This window comes from Homo sapiens, chromosome 20, assembly GCF_000001405.40.
Source record: "Homo sapiens chromosome 20, GRCh38.p14 Primary Assembly".
Taxonomy (NCBI): domain Eukaryota; kingdom Metazoa; phylum Chordata; class Mammalia; order Primates; family Hominidae; genus Homo; species Homo sapiens.
Window position 1 is genome coordinate 19,490,282 of NC_000020.11, and position 27,213 is coordinate 19,517,494.

The following is a 27,213-nucleotide window of genomic DNA, read 5'->3' on the forward strand; positions in this document are numbered from 1 at the left end:
TCCTGGTTTATTTTCCCAAAACAGAAACTCTCTCAGGCTCGTGAGAAATCTGGCAGTTGAAAAATGTCTCCTGCCATATACTTCATCCACAAAGCCAAGAGAGAGGCAGTCAGCACCCAAGAGTCCCACTGGCCTCCTTTGTTACCGAATCCCCTGACTTTCTGGAGAGAGGGATGCCCAGGAGTTTCCCAAGTTACCATGTGCATCATTAACCACCTAAAATAGCGGCTTTAGGTGCAGTGGTATTTGAACTACTGAAAAATCCTGACCTGGATGTCTGCTAAATATAGTAATTATGACTCAGTAATTGATACAGTTAGAGCTATTATTAAGATTGGGATGTTAGGGTGAAGATTTTGCCAAAGACACTCTAGTGTTAAAAAATAAACACCATTCCTCAATTTGGTAGTTCCACACCTCAGACCCACCTTCCTGAGGGATGTGGGATTTCATGTGCTCTTGGTACACACATACAAAATCCTGGAGAACTGCCTAGGGGGCAAATGGGGACTTATATCTCCCATCCTTGCTCTTTGCCATCCCTTGAAGGTTTTAAAAATATGCATCTGTAGCCCTTGCATGGAATGAATGGCTGGCTTGCAGGAAACAATTCTTTCTCCCTGCTCCTCCCTCATGGCAATCTGTGCCACTGCCACTTTCTAATCTCTCATTGCTTCTCTGTTTCTTCTCAGCGAGCAGAAAGTAATTTATTCATATTTTAAAATACGGAACATTCACAAAACTCAACTTTGCCTTTTCCTCTTTTCCCATGCACTAATCACCCAGTTATGGCAACAACCATTTGAAGCATGTGAACTTGCCCTTTCATTCCTTGGAGGGGAGGGGTCCTCACTGCCATCCTTGCATTTAGATGCCAGGGATAGCAGCACCAACCTTCTTTCCCCAGGTCCCTCACCTGAGCTCGTAGTTGTCCAGAGAGGGGAAGGGCTGTGCACCCCTCCCTGTCCTCTGAATATGCTTCTCATTCCGGTTCCTCCTGGTCACTGTGTTTCCTGCACATTGAATCCTCCTTCCTTGTTACCTGTCTAGTCTGTAACTAACCTCTTCAAAGATGGTTCTTTCGACATGCTTGGTTCCCTAGCACCAATCTGTGTTGTCTGCTGTGTTCCTGAGTTGGTTGAACAGAAGTGTCATCTGTCTTCCATGCCCCTTAGCACAATGACCTCAGGGCAGAAATGACCAACCCTTGTCCTCGATGGACAAAGGTTGCCTGAGCTTCCAGTCACCCTGGCTTAGGCCTTTCCAGGCTCTGTCACCCCAGGCACTGAGTGGCGCTGCCATCACATTCTGGCACCCCCCATACCTCCTCTACCCTCCTGCTCATGTGTCAGACACCCCTGCCCCTCCTCTGTTCCCAATGAGGATGGGCTCCCCAGAAGTGCTTTCAAGAGGAGGACTTGTTTGCAAATCACTAAGGACATGCTGGGAAAGGAGTGGGAGAGGAAAGAGGAAGGGAAGGAACCAAATTGAGGGTGTCTCCCCAGTCAAAACACTGCCCGGGAAGGCTTCATCTTAATCCCACAGGTACTCAGTGTGAATTCTCCCTCCAGGATGTCCCAGCCCTGGGCAAGGGCGCTGGGCTTGCAAACACCTTCCTCCATCAGTGATTAGTTAAGGGACCTGGGCAGGGCAGCAGTGTCATTATTGCCCATGCTCTTCCAGAAGTGCTCAAGGGCCCCCCCTTCACCCCTCTTCAAAGAGAAGGTGCATGTGCTGGCTGTTACAAACTGGAGGCACACCGAAGCGGGGTGCAGATGAAAACCAGTGGTGTGGGCAGATACCCAGGTTGTTCACTGTGCACTAGATCCGAAAGTTATCTACCTTTTGATAGGAAACTTTGCAAGTATTTCAAACAGAGCTTTCTGGCCTTGACAAGGCCATGGATATTCTTCTTTACTATACTCTAAAGCAAGGCCAGATGCTTGCTTTAGAGTACTCAGGACAACATTGTAGTTAAAAGCCTGGGCTCTGGAGTCCAAGAAAACAGGGTTTTAGATTTGTCTCTGCCACTTATGAGTCATGTGGCCTTGGGCAGATTATTTTCCTTTCTGAATCAAATCTCCACATCTGTGCAATGGTGACAACTCCACTTATCTGCCAGTGTGTTCGAAGGACCATTTGAGACAACGCATCTGTAGCCTGGCACCAGCGTTCAGCCCACCACACCTGCTCAGTCCATGGGAGTTCTTACAGTCATTCATTTTTCCCATTCAAGAAGCAGAGGATTCCAGGAAGTTAATACTGTGGTAGAATCCCACTCACTATGGACCTTTAGCCTTTTACTCCTGAGGCCAGGGATCCAGTGCTTTAGTTTCCTGCATCTCATATTTACATGTTCACCATATCCACATACTCCCTGGAGAATTATTATTTCCTGTATATTTTCCTTAAACTCACTTTCAAAAACTGTATTTTTTGAAGCTAATTTTATTATATCTGTTTCATAAATAAGTGTGGATATTTTTATAATAATATTAAAATGATCATTATATAACTATTAACATTTACAAAGTTTGTTCTCGTATGGCCTGTCCTCATCTACACATCCCTGGAAGCACACCAAGCACCTTCCAGGCATCCTGTGTGTACTTCTCATACCTTAAGAGCTATCCAGCCATAGCGATGGGATTTCAACAGCCCTAGGGATTTAGAAGCAGTTCAGAGTATGGTATTTCTAATCTTTCCAATAATGTTTTATATGTCTCACTGCCGATATCTGACTCTGGGAATGGAATTATTTCTGGATCCTGAGGTTGCTTGTGAGGCTGCTGTGTAGCTCTCTGAATTAAATGGTTGGCCTGGCCTCGTTGCCATGGTGACAGGAATCAGTGCAAGCCGACCAGGTGACCAGCTGGATGGGGAAGCATCACAGATGTGGGCCATTTCTTTGTCAGTTATCTCAATGACTGTCATTTCCATCCCCTTGAGTTGGTCACATGAGCAGTCACCATCTCAGATCTTATCTCTGACATAGCCGGTGGGAGGGCCTGAAGACCTTGGAAGTTGGTCTAGGATGCATACCTTGGAAGACACACACAATTCAGTGATGTATTTTTAAAAAGAGTAAGAAAGATAAGCAAACCGGGTGAACACTGTCTATTTATTTACTGATGAATGCAACACCTGTTATAGAGTTGGTACTCCAAAATTTTAATTAAATGAGTGAATGAATAAACCAAGTACTAACACTGTACTATATAATAATCATATGTATGCTTCTTCAACCAGCATTTATTGACTATTTTCTGCATTCTTAGGACCAGGCTGAGGATAAAAGGGTAGAATAGCCTGAAAATGTGAAGCAGTCATCAGATGTCAGGGGGTGGGTAAGAGGAGAGAATCTGGGTGCTTTCTTAGGGAAAGAGAATGGATCATAAAATGGGATCACTGGAGCTGGAGGGTAAGAATCTTAGTTGGGGGGATCAGTTAGGCTAAGGGCAAGTCAGGGAAACACTTCTCAAGCCAATGGCCAGTTCATCCCCTTCCCTGAGAGAATGGCTTAGCCCTCCACACTCCAGAAACACTGCAATGAGGCAGACTTTCTAGGGTCGTGCTGCAGATGGTCCACTATGCTGCTTGCCTCTTTGGTTCCTCACAGGCCTGGTTTGGAGGGAAATGCTCTCTCTCGGGTGTCTTGCTGGACACTGTATCTCTTGGCTCCAACTTCCTTGGCCTAGCTTGCCGCATTCCAAGTCAAAATAGCTCATGCTCCTTCCGGGCGGCTCCCCAGGGCCTGGGGTGCATAGATCTGCATGGAGGGGGAGAGGGTCTGTGACTGGAGATCCTTCTTTTGATGGGTATCTCTCTGTGAGGCTCAGCCTCGGCCACCAGGCCCCATGTGCCCAGCAGAGATGCTGCCTGTGTTATCTGAGTACTTAGACCCTGGGTTTGCCCATCTATAGTCCATACCCACCCAAATAAGTCATGCCTGTGGAAAACTTTTTAGACAGTTTTAGTCCTTGTGATGAAGGAGAGCAAAATCTCTCTCCAGAATTGAAAATGCTTCAGCAGAGAAGTACTCTTGCAGTAAACTGGCTCCATCTAGCAGATCTACAAAATTAGTGGAGGGAAGCTTTGCAAACACGAATCTTTAGGGCATCTCAATGAGGATGCTTGGTTCTGTCCAGACTCATTGCCTTCCAAGTAATGAAATCATCTGGGAAACAAACTTATTAAAATATAAAACCCTTCTAGAATCCTTCTTCAAGCTTCAAAGGGAGATTTGGGGGAAGGAAATACTACCCCATTTTAATGATTGCAAAGATGTTTGGGGTGGGAGTTTGGGGGTGCACATTGTTTTTGGTGTCTAATTCAAATTTGGTTATGTGCTGTAGGTCAGTTTCCAGGGTGCACAGCCTGGACTAGGGTCTTCCTGAGCCTGGAATTTGGGACAGAAGGAGCTAGACCCACTCATCCAGCTTTGGGCTGCAGTGACTTAGAGGGATTAAGAGGCAAATCTTGCTCTGGCCATCCCGAAAAGGCTAGAGGACTCACCTCTGATGCATTTTACAATTCAAAGGGATGCCCCATTCCTTTGGAGACTTAGAACAAAAGCCAACTGAAGAGGTTGTCTCGGGTTGGGTCCCCAAGACAGAGATTCTTGTGCAAGTCATTCATTGTTGGAGAGATCTCCAGAGAAAAGGAGTGAGAGAAACAGGATCAGGCAGGAAAGGAGGCAACAAAGGAGTGGTGTTGGCTGCAGACCAGCCTCAGGTGGATCCCAGGAGACCATGGAGTGTGAATGGCACCACAGAGCTGTCCTGCCTTGAGGCAGGAGCTGGCCTTTGTACCCTAGTGTCTACCACCCCTCTTGGAGTGAGGACTTAATCTTCTAGGCATTTCTGGGTGAGGTTGCATGCACTGGCCAAGTGCAACTCTGGAGAACTTACTCTTAGCCTTTATCAGGAGCTGGATGCATCAGCCCCAGAAAGGGTTTCTGAGCGGGCACCAACAGCATCTACAAGACATAGTCATGTGGTTGTCCTGCCTGTACTTTGCATTGGACTGGATGTACAAGTTCTTGTCACCTTTACAAGGAGACATCATTCATCTGTCTATGAGAACTCCCTTTCCTTTCCAGCCCTTTCCTTCTCAGCTTTTAGACATGTTTTGTAAAAGTAGGGGAAGGGGTGGATACATAAGTGAATGTAGCTGGTCAGACATGAACGCCTCGCTCTGTAGAGCATCGCCAGCTGTGGATGTAGCCGCTCAGCTATTCATCCAGGCTTGTTAAAATATTAGAGCATAAAAAGGCTGATTTCATTCGTTGTATGGCAGTACAGCTTCCCTCAGGAAAGGCAAGGCTGGCCAAAATGTGTGTGGTCCATACCTTTTGGGTGGATGATATTTGCAAGACTTGACTCCCTCGGCTGTGCCCAATCTTGCCCTGACCATTCACTTCACTTCTTGCCTTTTCTCTAGAACTTCCCTTTCTGTTATTTGGAAATGGTCACAGAAAAGTACAATCTTTTCCATTCTGAAACCCAACTTGCCATTTTCTTCCATACCATGTGGTTCTAATATCCACATCCTCCACAGCACCCCAGATTTCAGGCTGGGCATCCTGTTGTCACCTGAGTCTGCGCCTGCTTCCAACACACCAATACATAGCCACACAGTGGATTCTGTTTGGCTCTTTGGATCTGAGTTTCCGGCAAAAACAAGATTTTTTTTAAAAACAATGTGACAGAAGAACATAGAAATGTCTGGAACGTGTTCAAGCCAGTGAAAACACTGAGAAGACACTCTCCCTGCCGCCTCTCAGTGCAGACGAGTCAGACATGCCTCTGGGACACCCCGGCTCCCTTTGGCTGGCACAGGGAATGGAAACTTTGGCCACGGGTGGTTGTTTCTGTGGCTTCTGCACTTCTGGCCTCACCCGCTTCTCACTGATGATTTCGCAGAGTAAGCCTAGTCTAGCATCAGTCCATCCTCAACACCAGCCAGCCGGTCTCCATGCAGCAAGGCCCGATAGGCATGCTGGAGTCTCAACAGGAAATGTGCTTTTCCACTGAGCAAAAACAGACACTCAGGAGCTGATGGGCTGTGGAGTGATGTGCATGGTTCACTCAGGACCCTGTCACATTAAAGGAGCATATGAAGCCATATCCCCACATAGCTCAGGGATGTGGGGAACAAGTTGCTGTCCATCGCCCACCCTCCAGCCTGCACTCCTGTGGTTGGATTCCCAATCTCTGTAGCAATTTATTGCAGGATTCCTTTGGAATGATCAAGAGAATGTTTGTGGAAGAAGCAGCATTTGTGTGGCTCCTGAGTTAGCCTGGGTTGCCAGAACCTGAGCCTGGCATGAGCATTCCCGTGAAAGCCATGTTGGACATGCTTCTTGGAAAAACTGGTCAGAGAGCACATAGTGTGATCAGGAAAAGGTAGGAGGTCAAGAAGGGCACGGTGTCAAGCAGAGTCCCACAGAGAGGAACTTCAGCACAACCGAGCCCTGGGTGCTGGCTCCTGAGTGTAGAAGCACTCTGGGAGCTGGAGTTAGCAAAATGGTAAAGGGCTTTCCAGGGAGGAGGACAGAACCCTGACTGCCAGCTTCAGTTCCATTATAGCAACTTTCAGAGGAGTTTGTGGGAGCAATAACAGCACCAGGCCTGTTCTTCCCCAGTGTCTAAACTTCTTTCTGTTGTAAGCTGAGCTCTTTTGCAAGCCCCAGTATCAACTCCTTCTGCCTTCTCCTTGTGAGTTCCAACACACTAAGTAGACATTAGGGTACCAGCCATTTACCCCATGGGGTACCAGCGATTTGCCCCATGGCCGTAAAATGTGCACATGATAAAAAAGGGCCCTGGGGCATAGAAAGAGTCCCTACAAAAGGTGCCAACATGCTTTCCATCAGGATGTATCTCAGGCAACAGGAGAATCTGAGTCAGCTCCCAGCTCATTCTTAGCCCATGACAAATGTTGAGACACAAGTAGACATTTCCGGCACTCAAATAAGGCAAGAACTCCAAACCAGTCCCTTTTTGGGTAGAAGGGGCTAGGACCGTTTCATCTGAATAGGAAGCTCTAGTTGGAGAAAGATACTTACCGCAAGGCCTGCAGTGAGGAGCAGAATCCCAGACGCTATGTCCTCCGGGGTCATGTTTCTCCAGCCCAAGGCTTAGTAAAAGGCTAATTAGGAAGTTGGCCAATTTTAGTCTCGGGTCCCATTTTGGGCTCTAATGTACTGTGAAATGTAATGCAATTCCACATGTTTTGCAGATGCTTGGTGCAGTCATTTCTTTGGGAAAAAACAAGGTTAGGGTTTGCACATTTTTTCCCCTTTGAGCCTGGGGAGAAACGTGAACTAAACCACGTCTAATGTTGATCCTGAAGAGGCTGCTGTGGTGTAGAAGGAAGGACACTTGCCTCAGAAGATCAAGTGGATCTTCTTACTTTGTGAACTGAGCCTCAGTTTCCCACTCTGTGAAGCACAGAGCTCTCGAGTTCTCATGAGGATCAGGAAAGAGCATGCAATGGGAACAATGATATTAACATATTAAGAGTTGCTACTGTTTCTGCTGGAGAACTTGGCTGTTTGTTCAAGGAGAAATGCTTTAAAGCAGAGGTCCCCATTCCCCAGACCATGGACCAGTACCAATCCCTGGCCTGTTAGGAACTGGGCCACATAGCAGGAGGGGAGTGGTGGATGAGCAAGTAAAGCTTCATCCGTATTTACAGCCACTCCCCACGGCTCACGTTAATACCTGAGCTCCACCTCCTGTCAGATCAGTGGTGGCATTAGATTCTCGTAGGAGCATGAACCTTGTTGTGAACTGCACATGCGAGGGATCTAGGTTGCACACTCCTCATGAAATTCTAATGCCTGATGATCTGTCACTGTCTCTCATCACCCCCAGATGGGACTGGTCTAGTTGCAGGAAAACCAGCTCAGGGCTCCCACTGATTCTACATGGAGGTGAGTTGTATAATTATTTCATTATATATTACAAAGTAATAATAATAGAAATAAAGTACACAATAAATGTAAATACTTGAATCATCCCCAAACCACCCTTCCCCACCAGTCCATGGAAAAATTGTCTTCCACAAAACTGGTCCCTATGCCAAAAAGGTTGGGGACTGCAGCATTAAAGAGCCACAACCTCATTCAAACTCTGGATGGCTGTGCCCCTCCCCCACCCCCACACCTTGTCTCTACTTCCCTGTCCACCTGGACTGCCTCCTGCAGTCCTTCTCTAGGGCTCCACTCAAGCCTGATTTGCCCTATGCAGCCTCACTCACTGTGCTGGCTCATGCTGACACCTTCCTTCCTGACCTCACTTCCCACTCACTGTCTGATCCATATTAATAGATATCAATTGTTATCAATATGGTTATAGCTATGGTTATCAGTTCAGGTGAGATAAATAGTGGCAGATTGCATCTTCCCAAAAGACCACAGCAAGAACTCCAGGACAACATACTCTTCCAGAATCTTGTCCTCCCCCACCAAAAATGAAGAGATAGGGTCCACTTCACCTCCCTTTAAGACTGGTTAAATCTTTGTAACTGCCATGACCAGCAGAAGCAGCGGAAATGTTTTGCGTGACTTCCTATGCCAGATCATAAAAGGCTGTATGATTTCCTCCTGGCACTCTCTTGGCGTGTGCACGTGCAGCTCTGAGCCACTATTTGAGAAGTCTCCAAGCTGAGAAGACCACATGGCAAGACCACAGACTTGGAGAGGCCAGGGAGCCCCAGCTGTTCCAGCTCCCAGGTGTTTCAGTTCCCCTAGCCCAGAGGCCAGACAGGCAGTGAGTGTTGGAGCCTTCACATTTCCAGGTCCAGCCACCATATGATTGCAATTGTGTGAGCAGCCAAGTAAAGACCACCTACCTGAGGCCGGTCAACGCCTAAAAATGTGAGACATAACAATAAAATGTTACAGTTGTCTTAAGCCACTATGTTTGGGATGGTTATTATGCAGATACATATACATATGTACTATCTTAGTTCTGGCAGCTTTAAGAAAATACCATACTGGGTGGGTTTATAAACACAGGAATTTATTTCACACAGTTCTGGAAGCTAGAAGTCTGAGAACTGGGTGCCAGCATGGTTAAGTTCTGGCAAGAGCCTTCTTCTGGGTGACGGACCTCTGACTTCTCCTTGTATTCTCACGTGACAGAGAGCAGAGAGGGGAAACAAACTCTCTCATGACTCTTCTAGAGACAAGGTCTCTCTCCATCACCCAGGCTGGAGTGCAGTGGTTCTATCCTCCCACCTTAGCCTGCTGAGTAGCTGAGAATACAGTTGCATACCACTATGCCAAGCTAATTTTTCATGACTTTTATAAGGATACTAATCTTATTTGTGAGGGCTCCACCCTCATGACCTAATTACCTCCCAAAGACCCCATCGCACTGGGGATTAGGATTTCAACATATGAATTTGGGGAGTAGGGTATTCAGTCCATTACACACATACACCTAGATACTTGCGTATGCATATGTTTGTACATATGCACACACACATACATGCATACCTATATTTACATACATGTACACACATGGATGCTACATACATACATACATGTACACACATGGATTATACATACATACATGTTTAGGGATGTAGCCTGATTTCTTCAATCATCCTCCAGTTTGTGCATTTGTGTGTGTGTGTGTGCTGGAAGTTAGCTTCCCAGCTGGGCTGTAAACTCCTGACATCAAGACTGTGCTGAATACTCCCTGTTATCCTCCGCCAGCTGAAGAACGACATGGTGGATGTAGCGACTCTGCCCTGAACCCTTGAGTTATATTGATGAGGAAATGTGTGGTGCACACCTGTGTCCCTGAAAAGCTCATTACATGATGCAAGTGGGATCAGAGTCACTTTGGTCTTTGAATCTTTCTCAAGGAACCTGTATCCTTGGAAAGAACCATTTACCTGAAATTGTTGAGAAAAAGCCACTCGATTTGCTTCTGTGTCGTAGACTCAGTGGAAGGAAATGCCACTCTCTCCAGTCCCCCAACTGTGGATACTCGGCCGCCACCTCGGAAGCTATTAGGCAGGGTCTCCTTTCCTTGTTCAGGATCCCCATGGGATTTGCTGCTTCTATCTTCAGATTCAAAAGCAGCTCTTTTGCTTCTCTCCTCATCTTAGTGTTACCTAGGAGATCAGAGATTTTTATGAGTTAGGATTGACAGTCTGATCATATTTATGTGAGCTAGGCAAGAAAAGTTAAATATTGGAGTCTCTCATTGAATACAATATTATTTGGATAAAAAATTGTCTCAAACATTGAAAGGGTCATTTTCTAAAAGAATTTATTTTAATAAATTTTCCTCCATAAATCTATATGAAATGCCCTGAAATTCAAAGTTATATAATATATGAGAAAACATCAAAGGAAGCAATGATATTAAATTCCTTTCCATCCTTGAAAATTCTGCTAAGTTATTTTACCCCACCCACTGCATGAACTCAAACATCGTTACAAGAACTCAAACAGCCCAGTGAGGTGCAACACAGCTTCTTCAAGTACATGGTAAACCACTCCTCGTCTGGGAAGGCTGGAGAGGAGGTATTAGTATCTTTGATCAGCCTTTGACTCAAGTGGGCCTGAAATTTGTCCTAGCTCATGACTGTAAATGTATACATTTGCATGAGGCCTCTGTGACATCATGACCAAGGTTATTACATCAGAGTGGATGTTGCTACCACTACCTCTTGCATTATTTTGTCTTGTAATAATTGTATTACTTTATGGATCTCTTTTAATCTGTTTTCAACTCCAGCCAACCCTGCAATGATACATAAGTACATGGAAAGACAAAGATGACAATCTTTGTGCCAATGACACAAACTCATAGGTTCTGAGGAGGAGCAAGAAGTAATTGACTTATAATGGGTGATATGATGGCATTCTAACATAAGAATGAAGTGAAACTTTTTCCTCCTACTTCCTGTCCACTTTCCCTCCTTACTTGGAACATAAATTATGGTATTTATCATTTTCATCTTAACTAACTCAACAACTAAGCCAAATTTTCACTTTCTTCCATAAAAAAAGTAAATGTTAATACTGAGGTACTTTATGTAATGGCCGGACTTGGTCAAAAGTTTTATTTTTCTGCCCACTTTTCTTTCCTCTTCATAAAGCTTCACAAGTTTCTCTAGACTCGAAAAGCATTTATTAAACACCTACCTTGCTGTTACCATGAATTTCAATTTGGCGACTTCACATGGGACATCAAAATCTGACACTTGCAGGAAACATCTAAGAGATCCCACAGATTCTAAAGGAAAGTAGAACACAATTTTACCTTCTTGGCTGTAACTGGTTTCCAATATCATTTTGCCTCTGAACACATGTTCTTGCCTCTGAGCCTTGGGGCATCACCTGTCAGAGACATTAGAACTGCCACAGATGCTTGTTTGGGATGACTTGACCTTGAAATATTTATAGTTGAGAGCTTTGGAAGGCTGCAGTGTCTCTTCCTGTAATCTCCCACTGTTCTGATTGCTCTTTCTGTCTGATTTTTGGTTTATCCACGTAAGTTGACATGCAATTAGCTCACCTCCCAGGCTTTCCATCCTAGCTTGTCAGCCCATCCCAACAACCTTTACTTTCCCTAGGCTGTTATTTACCACCAGGCCACACCGTGACTCCAGGCAGCATAAGTTCCATGGAGGACTTAATGTGGCTAAGGGCAAGTTTGGGGAATCTTTAATGTGAATTTGGTTTGCAGTCGCTTATGAAGTAGAATATATTCCAGAGGAAAGTGAAGAAAACAAGCAGAGACTGGAGGGGATATGAACCTCAAAAGAAAACTAGACTGGCAGAGAGCCATAGCAGTTAGCTTTTCTCCTCTGAAACCTCCCCAAGGTGTGTAGCATATGGGGGATAGAGCTCAGGCAGAAAGCAGCAGTCTTACTCGGTTGAGGCATCAGAGATTGGAGCTTGGGTCCCAGAGCAGCTGAAAATTGGGGGAAATCTCAGAAAGAAAGGAGTCAAAGAGGGAGAGCCCTATAATAGACATATAAATTTCCCTCAGGTCCGTGACTGACTGCTGAACCTCACATGCTTGGGGATGACTCCACGCGGCCCAGGGAAAACAACAGCTGAAAGGCTGAAAGCGGATATGTCAGCTGCTGCCTGGCACTGGGGAGACAAACTGAGAAGTGCAAGCCTCTAAAGTTAAAGGGGCTTGATAAACAGTTCAGATGCTCCACTGAAAGCCTATAGGGACCACATCTCAGGACTAAGGGCACACTTAAAACAGGCCTAAAATTACCACAAATGATGACCCTCCAGTAATTCAATCAAAGCTGAAAACCTAAAACCACCTCTGGCTTTGTGGCTTGTAATTACAATCCTCTGATAATTCAACTTCCTATTAGAACAAAACTCAACACTGTTCAGAGGAAGATGACAGAATCCAGAATCTCCTGAGCCACCATCCATGAAGTCAAATATATAATAAAAAAAATTAATAGAAGACCGGGTGCAGTGGCTTATGCTTGTAATCTCAGCACTTTGGGAGGCCAAGGTGGGAGGATAGCTTGAGGCCAGGAGTTTGAGACCAGCTTAGGTGACATAGCAAGACCCTGTCTCTACCAAAAAAAAAAAAAAAAAAAAAAATAGCTGGGCATGTTGATGCACACCTGTTGGGAGGCTAAGGTGGGAGGATTGCTTAAGCCCAGGAGTTGGAGGCTGCAGTGAGCCATGATAGTGTTACTGCGCTCCAGCCCTGGCAACAGAGTGAGACCTTGTCTCAGAAAAAAAAAAAAAAAAAATACTAGATACACATCAAGTAGATTCTAAATTCTCTTGCTTTGATCTTGCTTGCTCCAAACTCTGACAGGTCTTCTGCCATCTACAAGGCAGCACAGTGCCCTTCCTAAGATACCTCTCATGTCATCAGTTTCTGTTCTTAATCTGTAACCCAAAATCCTAGCTGGACACCAAAGCACATTGTTGAAGCAAAAGGCACTTAGTATGTTTCATTCAGAGCTATAGTGTGCCATCACCAGAGCCCTGTGACAGTTCAAGGAAATGGAGAAAAGTGAACAAATGAATTACATTTTTGGTTTGAATTAATTATGCTCTTTTCTTAATTTCTGTTCATATTCAGAGGCAAATGTTGTCCAAGAGATGGAGACTTGATATTTGGAATCTAAACTTTGGATGCACAAACTTAGTGATCTAACAAAAAATAATCAAGTTCTAATCTACCCTTAAAAGAGTTTCAGGAGTAATTTGCAGATTCTTTAGTGCTTTGACCTAAAATTATAGGTAAATGGTCAAAAAATATTGAATGTATGGTAACATAAAAGGAAAAATGATTTCCTGCAGTCAACATCTGCATTTTCCCCTTAAGGAGGGGGCCAGAGGTGGCCAGGACCAAAACTGAGAAGTAAGCACAGCTCTTATTTTTTCCAACTGAGCTAATCAATATTTTTTGTCTGCTTATTTATGTCTTCCTACAACAGCTACGCATATTCTTAGATATTTATTTCATTATCATAAACTAGAAATCAAGCTAAAGATTAAAGACGTCTCAATAAATTCCCTGAAGATACCAAATACCTTCAAGCAGATGGATTAGTAATAACTCTCCCCCTTTTAAATGGATTATATTCTAAAATAGGTGCAGATCAAACAAAATGATATCAGGAATCACTATTACCAGGACCAAGGAGTGCCAGTTATTCTTTCATTTTAGGACTTGGTTAGCAAAGCTTCAGTATAGGGAAATAAGGAGCGCACATGTCCCTGTTCCTATTCCCCTAACCATGGTAGACATTGCTAATAGATGGAGATGCTCTACCACACTGAGCCCCATCCAAGACTCAGCCTATCAGTCAATCATTAGCAGTCAAGCAATGAACATGAATGAGACTAATTTTCTATCCTTAAAATTGGCAGTCGTGGAATAACAACATCAGGAGGAAAGAAAAAGGGCAGTTTTTAAGAGGGGAAGCAGAGGGAAACTTTTGTGCTTTTCATGAAATTCTGTTATTATCCTCCCATCTATAGACCAATAGAACCATAAAGGTTACTTCCACCTCTGGAATTTAATGAGTTAACATTAAAAAATGTCATTGATTTTGAAACCTCCAGCCATTTAGCATGCACACTTCACCTTCTATAAAATAAATATTTAAAGTTTAAAAACTTTCCATGTAGATTCCTGTAGGGAATTACTACATTCCAAAAGCACTATTTCAAGTGCATTTTTTTTCTAGAAAAGTTTTTCATGCAATCTCATCCTTTCTGAGGGCATTGAACAGGAATGGGCATTCCTTGTAATCACCATGGGTTCCCTTGAGGAACTATTTAGTGGGTTCCTGTGTACATCAGCCTATTGGTCTGGATCAATAGCAGACATAAGAACATGAGAGATGCAGCACTTGGGTCAGACCCTAGGTCATCCATTCAAACATTCTGTCTCTGATGTTGGCACCAAGGGACACTTTGAGAAACAAAGGAGTCCAAGAAGAGTATCAAGTTCTGCACACCACAGGGAATTTACCATAAATATGTCACTTTCTTTAATGAGAATTCATTAGTGACACAGCCTTGATAATCACATGTGAGCAACAAATGCATGCCGTAGGCTCTTGCCCTTGCAAACAGACCTCCTATCTGCTGCCATGTTTGTGGCCTGGGAAAACTACATTATTCATGAGATTGCTGTATTTTCTACAGTAGCTGCTGGCTCAAAGACATGAGCAGCACTGATGCCATGGTTTTTATTATTGATAAAGAAATATGTTTCTAGTTTGTCAAATTACATTTCAGTGCTCTGCTAGGCCAATAGTCTATGTAACTAATGATTGGGGTTCTTTAGTTCCAAAGAATGTCTGTTCTCTTCCAGGAGAAAAGTTTGTGGGCTGATTGTTTAAAATCTTCTGCCAATACAGACATGAGAAAAAGAGCTCTTAAGTGGGAACCAAGGGGCTTCTCATGATGTTGGATCAACTTCAGCATCATGAACAAGGAGCAAAGGCAGTTTCTCAATCTGCATTCAGGAGTGAGGTAGTTCCATAATGCTATCTAGATTGCAAATCCACCGCAAATTGTCCATACAGACTATTGCCATGATTTAGGGGAAAATTCATCCAAATGTGTTTAAGTTCTTTTCTGGAAAAACAAATCTTTGTTGAAATAGAGAGAGGGAAAAGTGCAAAATTCCTAACTCTCCTTTTCTAAATATGGGTTTTCCAGAAGTAGTCCCAGAAACAAACTCAAGTACAAGTTGTTTGTTTCTGAGATGATCCCAAATATGGGAGCTGGGAAGTGAGACAACGAGACAATGACAGATAGGCAACCAATCATAGGCATGTTACCACCGTGAGCAACCAGAGCTTAGTTGTGCTGGGAACCCTTAACAGTGTAGAACACACCTCAGCGTTATCTCATCCAGGTAATGAGGGAGCTGGGGTACTTATACACCCACCTTTCATCAGACTTTGGTTGACAGTTTCTCTTGAGAGAAAGAGTGGTATTAATTCTCCAGCATATCCAGCCTGCAGTGCCTGGGCAGGGGAACCTTTCTCAGCTCTGGAGAAAGCCTTCAGGGAAAGAGATGAAGGTGCTTAGTACAAAAGACATAGGGCCCCAGGACTGTGGGCCTGGTATTGATGTCTTGGGAAACTCCCCTATCCATATTTCTCCCTCTCCATTATTTAATAAATTAGAGACAAACAGAGCTATCATTTGATAGGTCCTTGCCCAATTTTAGGTATTGCATATTTCATAAGCATCATCATCAATCCTCATAATAACCACATAAATGGGTATTGTTTTCATTCTCCCATTTTGCACATTAACAATTAAGACTCAAAGATGTTAAAGAATTTTCCCAAAGCCACAGAACTTATGAGTGGTAAAGGACGGATTCAAATCCAGGCCCTCAGGCTCTTGTAAAATGCTGGTTGCCTGTGGTAAGCAAATGTCACCACATAAGCATTTGGCTGATCCAAGTTTTCTTAGCAAATTTGATTGGCAATACCATTTTGATTGATAGTTTAATGATCCCTCTAGGCCATCTGTTCCCATGACTTGTGGTTGCATCTTCCTTCACAGAGATGCTTCTCATGACCTTGTTTTCATTCACACATCAATCCATTTGAATCTGAACTTTGTTTCTGGTTTTTGAAGGGAAGGACTTATGCCCTTAAAAAAACAAGAAAAAAGGGGGTAATTTGTTCTTTCTAGGACAGTGGAATCAACATATTAGAAAGTTGGACCCTAGTTTGATCTCAGCTCTTCCACTAACGTCTATGTGAACTTGGACTGGTTACTTGCCCTCTTTGGGCCTCAGCTTACCCATCTGTAAATTGGGATAATGCTTCCTATCATATAGAAGCAATGAAAAAGTGATAAATATATTTTCAATACTTGATAAAGGTTATTTCCATTCTTAAATTCAGAATACTTAAGGTATTGGGATGATTTCAAAGAGAGTCCCCTTGCTCCCAAGCTAACCTCAACTGTTAACTCCTCAGTGATAAGGGCTGTGTACCTTTAACTAGTATTGAGTATGGTATCCAGCAGATGGTAAGTGCTGAAAGTAAGCAGTGGTGTTTTGACACAGTATTGATTTAATAAATTTTCCAATGTTATTAAGATATGATCTTTAGAACGAGACAAAAATTCAAAAGATGATCTAAGAACAGACTGGTTCCCTGGAACACCCAGCACCTCCTGTTGCCAGATGCCTTCTCCCATGCCTGCCTGAGGTTTACTTGACCTCGTTGAATGTAAGCATGCATTGAAATGTCTCTAAAACATTTCCAAAGACTAAATATTTAGAAAATTAAGTTATGCATTTATGTACTTTCACACAGATTCTTTTGTGGATAATTTTGTTCAGGGGCCTTTATTTATGACAAATGTGTTAATTGCCTCAACCAACACTATTAAGTGATTTGTGTGCCAGGTATTTTGCTAGACACCAGGGCTACAGAGAAGAATCAATATCCTACAACCTTAACCTCCCTCCCCCAGTCTACTGGAGAAGAGAGAAAACAACCAAAAATTGCTGCAAGGCAAACAACGTGCAAAAGGCTGTAGGGATGCCAAGGAGCAAGGACCATATGCATTTCTCACAAGGAGCTAGGATATGCTGGGTAGCAAACAGCCCCCGAAGATCAGTGGCTACAAAATACAATAATGTTATTTTTACTCATGCTACACGTACAAAATGCATGTATTGGGGTTGGGGATTCTGGTATCAGTCACTCAGGGATCCAGGCTGATGGGAGATGCACATTGCATCCTGATGTACCTTTCAAGAAATGCTGAGACAAGAAAATGCAAAATGGTGAGCCAGGCACTGGTTTGAAAGCCACATGCAATCCACATCATTTTGCTCACATTTCACTAATCAAAGCAAGCTGCATGGCCTTACCTAACTTTGAAAGGGATGTAGAAATACTCCTCCTAGGTCTCTGGAACAATGAGAAATGGGGTATTTGTGAACAGCCCTCATTGCCACCAGAGTTGGGATCTAGTAGTTGGGAGTTTGACTGAGCTGTCCCTCCCAACACCATTTCTCAGCCAATAATTCTGTCTTGTGTTTATACAAAACCACTTCCTGAGAGAAAGGCCCTCTGCATTCAGTCACACTTGATATTTGTTGTCCTCTTTCATGTATCCCAGCCTGGTGGGTGCTGATGACAAAGAGAGAAATGACAGGGCTCCTGTCCTCAGGGAGCTGAGCTCATGGTGCCACTGAGTCCACGGTACACATGGACAAGAAAATGCCTACAGTGTGGTTGGAAAATAATTTGATGAGCACTGGGACAATGCAACTGGGCCACAGAAAGAGAGGCAGGGAAGGCTTTGTGAGAAGCGGAGGAGGTACCGCACCCGGAAGACAAAGTTTTTACAGTGCCCCAGGAAAAGTGGGAGCAACAGGCTTTACTAAGACAGATGAAAGCACGTGAAACAGAAGCTTGAAGCCACTCATCACTGCAGGGGGAAGCTGGGTAGCATCCAGACTGCCATCCTTCGGTGCAATTCCTGAGAGACCAATCCCTCAAGTTGCATGGGTATTTTGTCATGAGAAGGTCACTGGGATGGCAGACTGGTATTCTGATGGCTGCAGCAGCCCATGTTCCTTTTGCTCAGACATGTTAAGGGAGCCAGGCTTTTTAGGATGTGTTGATCTTCATTTTGGCCTGCTCCATTTGATCAATATGTGATGAGTATGTCTAAAGATGGCATGAATGTTCCTGCTGCATTTTTTTTCAAGCAAAGGAGAAAAGACTCTACCTCTGTGAACCTCCGTTTAGACTCATCAAACTCGGGTCTCATGAAAGCAGCCAGGAGGGAGAAGCAAGGAAGCTGATTGCTGTTGCCTTGGTAAGGGGAATCCACTCCACTCAGGTCCCTGTGGTTTCCATGGGAACAGCACCGCTTGCTTCTGCAGGCCCCCAGGGCTGGCGGGATGCACTGAAAGGAAAATTGGGGGATGAAAGAGAGGAGCAGAAAGAGACTTTGAGGACCTTGAAGGTATTTGGGGAATGACTCTCAGCTGGATGAGGCTGCTCCGTTCTCCCTGCATAGGTAGCTGCTGTTAACAGGCCATGTGGGCCATGTGGCCCCAACAGGCTGAGTACCAGAAGCACCTGCCTAGAGGCACATGCATTTATGCAGCTCTCATGGACTAATCACCATCCAGGTAAACAGATGCCAATGCAAGACAGGAAGGAACTGGCAATATGTGGATTTCAACATCAAGACCAGAGATGAATGTGTCCTCTGCCCACACCAGGCCAGCATGTCATTGTTGTTATAATTTAGAATAATGATATGTGACCCCAGGAAGCATGGCGGTAGGTATTTCACATTCACTATCTACACTCTTCATAACAACCCTGCAGGGATGACATCAACACACCCATCTACAGATGAAGGAAATGAGGCCCGGTGTGGCACAGAAGGAGATCTGGACCCGAGCCTGATTCTCCACTGTGGGATCTTATTCAAAATCTAACTGATCACCCAAGGAAAATGTTAGTTCCCAAATACAGCAAGCATCCTAGCTCAAGCCTTAAAAAATGCGCTGAGTACTTTTGGATTTGGCGCTAGGATGCACACCTGGAGAGGGTGACATCAGCACCAGCCATCAGCTCTGGGAGGCGCTAGAGGCCCCACATTGTCTTACCTCTTGTTCTAGAAGTGAACCAACTGAGGCCAAGAAGCACTTGGCAGAGCCTTCCAGTCCAGTGCACCACACTGTCCGCATACACTCTTTTCTTGGACAGCTGCAGCTATTCAGAAAATCGCATGCCCCACACACACCTGCAAGGCACCAGAGTGTGTCGCCAGTTGAAGAGCTGTTGCAGTCTCCAGGAGGAAAGCACAGCTGCTGTTGCAGCTCTTTTCTTGAACCACTGGGTCAACTGGGCAGAGTGGATTTACCCCATCCATGCCTAAGGTCTGTTCTCAGAGTTCTTCATCCCACTGAGACTTATCAGGCATCTGCTGTGTGCACTGCAGTGTACTGTGTTTGGACCAGAGGCAATGGGAAGGAGGATCCTCAGAGGCCACTTTTCAAATGGCCAAAAGGCAAATTGAGTCCCAGAGAGATGAAATGACAGGTGGCCAAAGCCACACTTTGGAAATGTTGGCATTGAGCCCCACATTTCCAGATTCCCAATTGAGGACACTTTTCTTGACTCCAGGCTGACCCCTTCCTTAGGAAGATTAAACACTGTGATACCAAATTGCTTTAGAACCACAGCAAGGCAACGAGTGAAATAACAATGTTATTAGTAGGCTGTGTATATAGCACGCACGTAGGAGCTGACAAAGATCAATGACAATCCTTATGGCCTCCCTAAACGAAGCTGCTGCCCCAGTGGGTCTCTAAGATAGGATTCTTCCTGATTTACATTCTGTGCTGCAGGGTCATCTGGCAACAAATGCCCTTTGCAAATGAATCAAAGAAGCTTCTAACATGGTGGAACAGGATATGTAATATAAGAACATGTTACAACCCTAAGTCTTAACATTGGGGTCCTACCATGCTAGATTCAGAATGCAAGTCTTAATAACAGTTTATCCTGATGTTATGCTTGTGCAGAGGGACTCCCTTCTGCCACCTCCACCCCATGCCCCACTGCTGTGTGCTGAAGCTAATTATGTGTGTATAAGTTATGGTCTCTCCTTTCCTGCAATAAGATACCTTGCGTCTCCTCTTCAGTTCTTATGCAAAGGAGGCTTCGGAGATGCTGTGAACTGAATGTTTGTTCCCACTTCCCAGATTCATATGTTGAAGCCCTAACCCCCAAAATGATGGTATTTGGAGATGGGACCTTTGGGAGGTAATTAGGGTCACATAAAGGTGTAAGAGTGGGACCCCAATCATGAGATTAATGTCCAAATAAGAGGAGGAAGAGACCAGAGTTTACTCATACTCTGATATGTAGATACTGTAAGAAGGTGGCCTCAGCCAGCCAGAAGACAGCCCTCATCAGAACCCAACCATGCTGGCACCTTTATCTCAGACTTCCAGCCTCCAGAGCTATGAGAGATAAATGTCTGTTGGTTAAGCTCCCAAGTCTACGGTATTCTGTTGTATCAGGCTAGGGCAGACATGGGGCATTCCTACACCCAGACATGCGGATGGTTTCTTGATATATCACCTGTGACTCTTTCTAGGGCCTTCTCTGGCCCCAGAAGCATGCTTGGCTTGGCCAGTGCAGGGCTGAGCAGAAGTGTTGAAGGGTCAGTGCCTTTGGGACAGCCCTAAACAGTGACAGGCAGGCGTCAGTGGACGGAGCCCCCCACCCTGCTGCTGACCCTGCAGTAGACAACTCTGAGACCTGCTTTCCTCTGTCTCCCAGCAAGCTTGAGACACTGTGCCAGCCCCTTCCCCTCCCTGCCTCATCTCTCCACCCTGCTCCCGATGCTTCCTGGGATCACCTCCCAAACAAACAGCTGTCATTCAAATCTTTCTCTCAGGGTCTGCTCTTGAGGGCCCCAGCCTAAGGCATGGGCATTTGGAACCTATGAGGGAAGACTCACCTCTCACAGGGTAGGAGAAGAGGGCTTAGCTCAATTTTTTTTTTTTTTTTTGAGATGGAGTCTCGCTCTGTCACCCAGGCTGGAGTACAGTGGCGTGATCTCCGCTCACTGCAAGCTCCGCCTCTCAGGTTCACGCCATTCTCCTGCCTCAGCCTCCCAGGTAGCTGGGACTACAGGCGCCCGCCACCACGCCCGGCTAATTTTTTGTATTTTTAGTAGAGACAGGGTTTCACCGTGTTAGCCAGGATGGTCTCAATCTCCTGACCTTGTGATCCGCCCACATCGGCCTCCCAAAGTGCTGGGATTACAGGCGTGAGCCACCGCGCCCGGCCTGGGCTTAGCTCAATTTTTAGATGAAATCTCTCCCTGTGACTTTTTTTTCAAATGATAATGCATATCTAAAAGGGAAAATAAAATATATGTAGTATTCTTTGCAAGCTGTGCATGAGTCCTTTGAAACCATTTTTCCAATTTTGTTATTTTCCTGATACGTGTTTTCTGAGAGGAGCTGTAATGAAAAAGTGGTCAGAGTGGGTGGATATCAGGTGAAGTTTGCTAGGTGAGTATTTAACCTGGTCATTCTTTCCACATTGCTATTGGCCATCAAATAAGACTCTTTGTTTTTCTTGAAGAACAGTGGTTCAAAACCGTTAGACTGTCCTCTGCCTTGCCCACCCTGACCCTGGAGCTCCCACATTCTACCCACATTCAACTCGGTGAGGAGGCCCACAGTGCTGGCCGCTCCATTCACAAGCTGTGCTGCTGACTGTGCCAGATTGGAGGCTCTCATTGCCCCATGGAGAATTTTCACACACTTCCTCATGGCCAGCTGTGACTGCTGACAAGAGGAGACAGTTTTGATAGAGGAGCTCCCAGCTGGGCATGGATCAGAGAGCAGGCCCTGGAGAGCAGACCAAGATCAGGTCACTGGTAAGCTGCCCACTCCCTGAAGGGAGGAAAGGGAGGGTTGCTGAGCCTCCAAGGAAGGAGGACCCTGACGAAGCTCCTGTGGTTTCTCTTTGGCTCACCCCTGCCCGGCCAGGACTTTGGGCAGCTTCTGGGTGGACTGTCCCGAGCCAGCATGGGGCCCTTTGGGTCCTGCTCCATCCAGGGCTCAGCCTCCAGTGTGTCTTCCCCAGGGGTCCCAGCTGGGGCCACCATGTGGGCTGGCATGGAGACCCCTGACAAGAAACCTCCTCCACCAGAGAACCAGGCCCAGTGGGATACACATATCTGCAGTTGCTTCATTCAGCCAGTTGCTGTTCATGTTGTGGAGAATTGAAACTCAGAATGCCTGGATTCAGAACCCAAGCCTGTCACTTACTGACATGGTGTCCTTGGTGGAACAGATGTGCTCCCTGGCCCTCAGTGGCCTCATGCACGGGGCAGCAGTGAGGCAAGAGAATAGAGCTGGGCTGGGGAGAACCCAGTGCAGACGTGGATGATGCTCATGGGGTGACTTTCACTCCTTTCCTGTGCTCCCTCGGTCCCTTGTTATTGATCACGGAGGAAGCTTGTGGGGCGGAAAGTAAAGAGCTAACTGGATGCCACATACCTGTACCCACTGTACCCCTCGTTGATGATTGGGGACCTCAAATAAGAGGTTTCCACACGATTCCTTTGCTTGGCACTGCCCCAGGGCATATGACTGGCTTGTTTCCCATGGGTGATGGCTGTTGTGATTGATACATTAACTCAGCATCCCATCTCTAGCTTCCAGCTCTGAGACTAGGAGAACAATAGGAGAGGTGACCTTTCAACCCTAGGACTGGCCAGTGCCAAAACACCCTGTGGCAGCTACACTGAAAAATGCAAAGAAAAAAAAAAGCCTATTGCTTCTCCTCCAGGAGAGTGGCAGCTGAATGTAAATCAGGTCAAATCCTCTTTTGGAGGAGGTCACAGAAGGAAGAAGTCAGAGGGCAGAATGGAATTGCAGATCCATGCAGTAGGGGGGTGGCATGTGTGAGGGGCGTCCCCAGCCCTGGGTTTGCTGGGTGTGCAGCCCTTCTCCCACTTTCCAGCCATGGAGCCCAAGCATGTTGCCCCATCTGTCTTCCCCTTGGGTTCCTCATCTACAGAACTGGAATAATAATCTGTTTGTGAGGATAAGATGGGATCACAGGGGCAAAGTGCAAGGTACAGTGCTTGCCAGGAGCAGGTGCTCAATAAATGCTCACTGTTGTCATCCCTCTGCCCCTCACATTAATTTCCAGATCGTGGCTTCATTTTGGTCCCCAAGGGAAACTCCTCCAGGCTTCTCCCAGTTTATTCATTGTTCAGAGGGGCTCTGTGCAGCCTGTTTAGAGCAGCTTCAGCTTAGAAAAATCCTCCCATAATCATGATGTTCCTGTCTTTTCTTGTCTCCTTTTTTATGTTTAAAGGACCATACAAAACTAGAGATTGTGATTGGCTAGACACACAGGTGGGTCTTGCTTTTTTTTTAGAAAAAAAAAAAAAGCCTTTTTGAGATATTATTGACGTATAAAAATTGTATATGCTTAAGGTATACAACTTGATCTTTTGATATACAGATACATTGTGAAATGTTAACCACATTTCAGTTCATTAACGTATCCATTACCTCTACATAGTTATCATTTATGTGTGTGTGTTTGTGTGTGTGTGTAGTGAGAAGATTTAGATCCATCCTCTTCGCAAGTTTCAAGTATATAATGTAGTATTTTTAACTGTCCCCCACTTGCTGTACTTTGGAAGGTGAGCCTTGCTTTATGTACTAGACGTACCCTTTGGCCCAAACACTTCGTGTGGCTCCAACCCAATACCTGCACAATGCCTTAAGCCAATGCTGCCTTGGATGCAGAGAGCAGAGCCTTTTCAAGCAGTGACCGATGGCTTGTGTCTTGCACAAATCCTCCGGGCAAGCCAGGGGTCCCCAGCAGAACTGGGCCTGGATGTCTCAGAGGTCATCCACTCACTCCTTAGCAGCACTGTCTTTGTCTCTTCTCCCCTTCCTGGCTGCACTGCCTCCCTCATGCACAGTGCATCCTGGAGTCATCTCCCAAGTAAACCACATAGCTCCACATCCTTGTCGGAGGGTCTGCTTTTAGAGGAATCCAAAATAAGACAGGTGGCAAGCAGGTATCATCTAGCATATCCTCCCCATCAAATGGTGGTGGTTTCTCTAAGAACTTGCTAGAGAAAGACTTGGAGACATCATCAAGCTCAGAGGGAAAGACTTCTTTCAGCAGCTGGTGATGTCTGCCCATGTGGGGCTGTGGGTGGGGGTGGTGTGTGCTGCTTCCTGCCGCGCCTGGTGGGCACATCCTCCAGCAAAGGAGCCGTGGATTCCTATCGGAGGGACCACAGGAGGCTTCATAAAGGAGAGGAGATGTGAGAACCTGGCCCAGAAGGTTGATTGGATTTTATGAGAGGAAGGGACAGGAGGCCTGGTTAGTGGTGGAGGACCTTCTTGGGACCGTCAGTTCACAGACTCCAGCTTTCATCTCAAGGCAGAAAGGTTTTGGAACATTGAGAAGGCATGAACATCCCTGTGGTTGGCATTCTGGTCCAGCCACAAATGGAGGTCAACTTAGAAAGGGGAGCAGAGGGAGGGAGCAGGGAGGGGGTTGTTCTAATAGCACACGAGGCCCACACCCTAAGCCAGGTCAGGCAAAGTGGAAAAGGAGCAAAATGAAGACCCACTTAGAGCAGGGGCTTCAAATCTGTCTGAGCCACAGACCCTTTTGGTGATCCAGTGAAGCCTACAGCCCCCGCTCAGAAAAGCAGTTTTCAATGCATGCATGCAGCAAAGTACATAAGGTTACACATGGAAACTGACTGTGTGGAAATGAAGCTGTCAAAGTATTAGAAAACAAATTTGCAATATAGTAGTTCACGTGCTTCCTCATTAACACTTTAAGTCACAGGTGGTGACCTAACAACCACCATAAGATTGAAGCAGTGGGTGAGAGCTGCACAAGTATGATGGTATGACGTGTTATGAAAATATCTGTGGGGCCGAGCCCCAGGTTCTGCTAACGCTACTGTGGTTGGTTGCCCACGTTCTTATCTGAAGGAAACACTAAATTCTGGTTAGTTTTGTGAACTTAAAGATTCAGGATCTTTTTTTCATCCAAGTTCATGGACCCCATGTTAAAACCAAGACTCCCAGACCTACAGCACTGAAAATGTGGTCACCTGTGCTGAGACGGTTTTCTTTCTCTGTTCTTTAGCCCTGCATGAATTCCCCAATGACATCTTCACAAACGAGGATAGAAGACAAGGTGCGGTGGTCCTCCATGTGCTCTGTGTAAGTACCCCTCTGTGCCTCTGCCTGGAGGGTCCATAGGCTAGGCCTAGGGGTGTGGGGTGTGGCACCTGAGGTGCCCCCAGTAGATTCTCTCTGCCCTCCTGTTCCCACGCTGCCTGGTGGGGGTCCTTCGAGCTCTGTAGGGGGCCATCACCAAATGGAGATGAAAGACCACAGCTTTCGAAGGTGGAGCCATCTGTTATGCACTTTCCCTTCATGTTAGTGCCCAGAGTGTGGACTCTAAAGTCAAACAGCCCCACTCTCCATGACTTAACCCTACTCTCTGCTCAAACACCACCCTCTTGGGGAGCCCTTTCCTAACTGGCCTTTCTGAAATGCCGCCATATTTCCTCTTACCCTGCTTTGTTTTCCTCCATGCTATCTGCCATTGCATAGTTATTTGCTTTTCAACTTTTCACCCTCACTCACACGTAAGCCCCATGAGAACAGGGACTTGGTTTTGTACACGGCTTCATTCCCAGACCCTTTCTTGGCATGTGGTAGGGACAGAACATTTGCTCACTGAGTGGATTATATGTAATGGCAACTAGCACCATGTCTGACACATAGAAGATGAACAAGAAAAGCTTGTTCTGTTCCCATCTGGCCTCTTACTTTCCACCACTGCCCAGCATCTTCTGCCACAGAGCCAGTGGCTCTAAAGTCTGTGGTCCTCTTGTCCCCATTTGGAGGGTTTGGGGGAGGGCATACATGTGACGATGTCTAAGGAGTGGACAGCTGTCCAACAAGAAATCTCTGAGCCAAATTCTCGACTAGGTACATTACTGCTTCCCCATCTCTGTGGCATTCCCTCCCCCTTAATTCCATTCTAGTTATTTATCGCTGTGAAGCGAGCTCCCCACATTCAGTGGCATGCCTGGTCACCATGTTGTTTTGTTCTTGGGTTGTTTGTGTTGAGTGCTCAGAAGGAGCACAGTGGGAATGCTGCTCCACGGAATCCAGGGCCTCAGATGGACCGACTCCGATGGCTGTGGCTAGACCAGTGGTCCTAAAGGGTTTCTCTCTCCCATGCCTGGTATGTGGGGTGGGATGGCTGAAGGGCTGGCTCAGCTATGGCTACTGAGAAGAGCACCTACAGTGACCTCTACAGCATGGCAGCCTCAGGCAGTCAGACTTCCACGTGGCAGCCCAGAGAGCTCAGAAAGGGAGGGTGACTTAGCCTTGAAGTCCCACGGTGTCATTTCCACCATTACAGTCACAGCCCACTGTGATTCAACGGAGGGGTCAGAGACCTTGCTTTCAACCCACAGCTGGAGCAGGTCAGCAGGCACAGCCTGGGCTGTGGAGTCAGAGAAGACATGGGCTTGAAGCCCACTTCTGCTGGCCTTGCTTTATGTGTCACTTCTGGGAGGACACTTGACCTCTTACGACCCACAGGCCACCTTGATCTTGACTCTGGGTAAAATCAATCAACTCTTCAACTGGTCTCCCACTCCCAAAAAAGGGAGCATGAAAAGTCTCTTTTCTACAAGGACATTCTCTAAAAATACCAAATGAGTAAGGAGAGCCTTTGCAACCCCCCAGCCCTCCCTGCCTTTCAGGGAAGTTGTGTGCACTGAGCCATTAATATGGATGGCACCTTCGGCACCAAGGAGGCTACCCTGTCGCAAGGCTGAGGAGCTCCAGGCACTGAGTTGGATCCGGAATTCCCTGGCAGCCGTTAGCATCCTGATGCTTTGACATCTGAGATATGAGATTTCCACTCTGGACCCAAACACTGCGTGCTTTCATCCTCCTGAAGAGATGTTGTCGCCTGCAGCTGCATGGTCCTTTCTCCCCACCTCCATCTCCCCTCTGGACTCACTGAGTCATCAGCTGGAGGTGGAGGGGGTTCATTTTTCTTGCTCTTCATGAGCCCAGGATACCCAGGAAGGTTTCTGGTGTCTGTGGTAGTGCATTTCCAGGCTGG

The 27,213-nt window shown here is 45.9% G+C and overlaps 1 protein-coding gene across 1 annotated transcript in view, besides 2 other annotated features; it reads left to right on the forward strand.

Moving 5' to 3' along the window:
* The window catches only part of SLC24A3 (solute carrier family 24 member 3), a 510,285-nt gene that overhangs the window by 277,640 nt on the left and 205,432 nt on the right, over nucleotides 1-27,213 (forward strand). The window contains exon 3 of the mRNA NM_020689.4: nucleotides 25,207-25,283. Coding sequence (NP_065740.2) covers nucleotides 25,207-25,283 — 77 coding nt within the window. The remainder of the gene's footprint in view (nucleotides 1-25,206; nucleotides 25,284-27,213) is intronic.
* Nucleotides 6,366-7,565: an enhancer, noted in NCBI's record as "MED14-independent group 3 enhancer chr20:19477291-19478490 (GRCh37/hg19 assembly coordinates)". NCBI's record gives its function as "activates an origin of replication core promoter dependent on BRD2, BRD4, P300/CBP and CDK7 cofactors, and independent of MED14, by STARR-seq in HCT116 cells {active_cell/tissue: HCT116}" and the evidence as "EXISTENCE:reporter gene assay evidence [ECO:0000049][PMID:35650434]".
* Nucleotides 26,002-26,219: a silencer, noted in NCBI's record as "fragment chr20:19496927-19497144 (GRCh37/hg19 assembly coordinates)". NCBI's record gives its function as "represses an EF-1alpha promoter that drives an FKBP-Casp9 reporter gene in an ReSE screen in HepG2 liver carcinoma cells {active_cell/tissue: HepG2}" and the evidence as "EXISTENCE:reporter gene assay evidence [ECO:0000049][PMID:32094911]".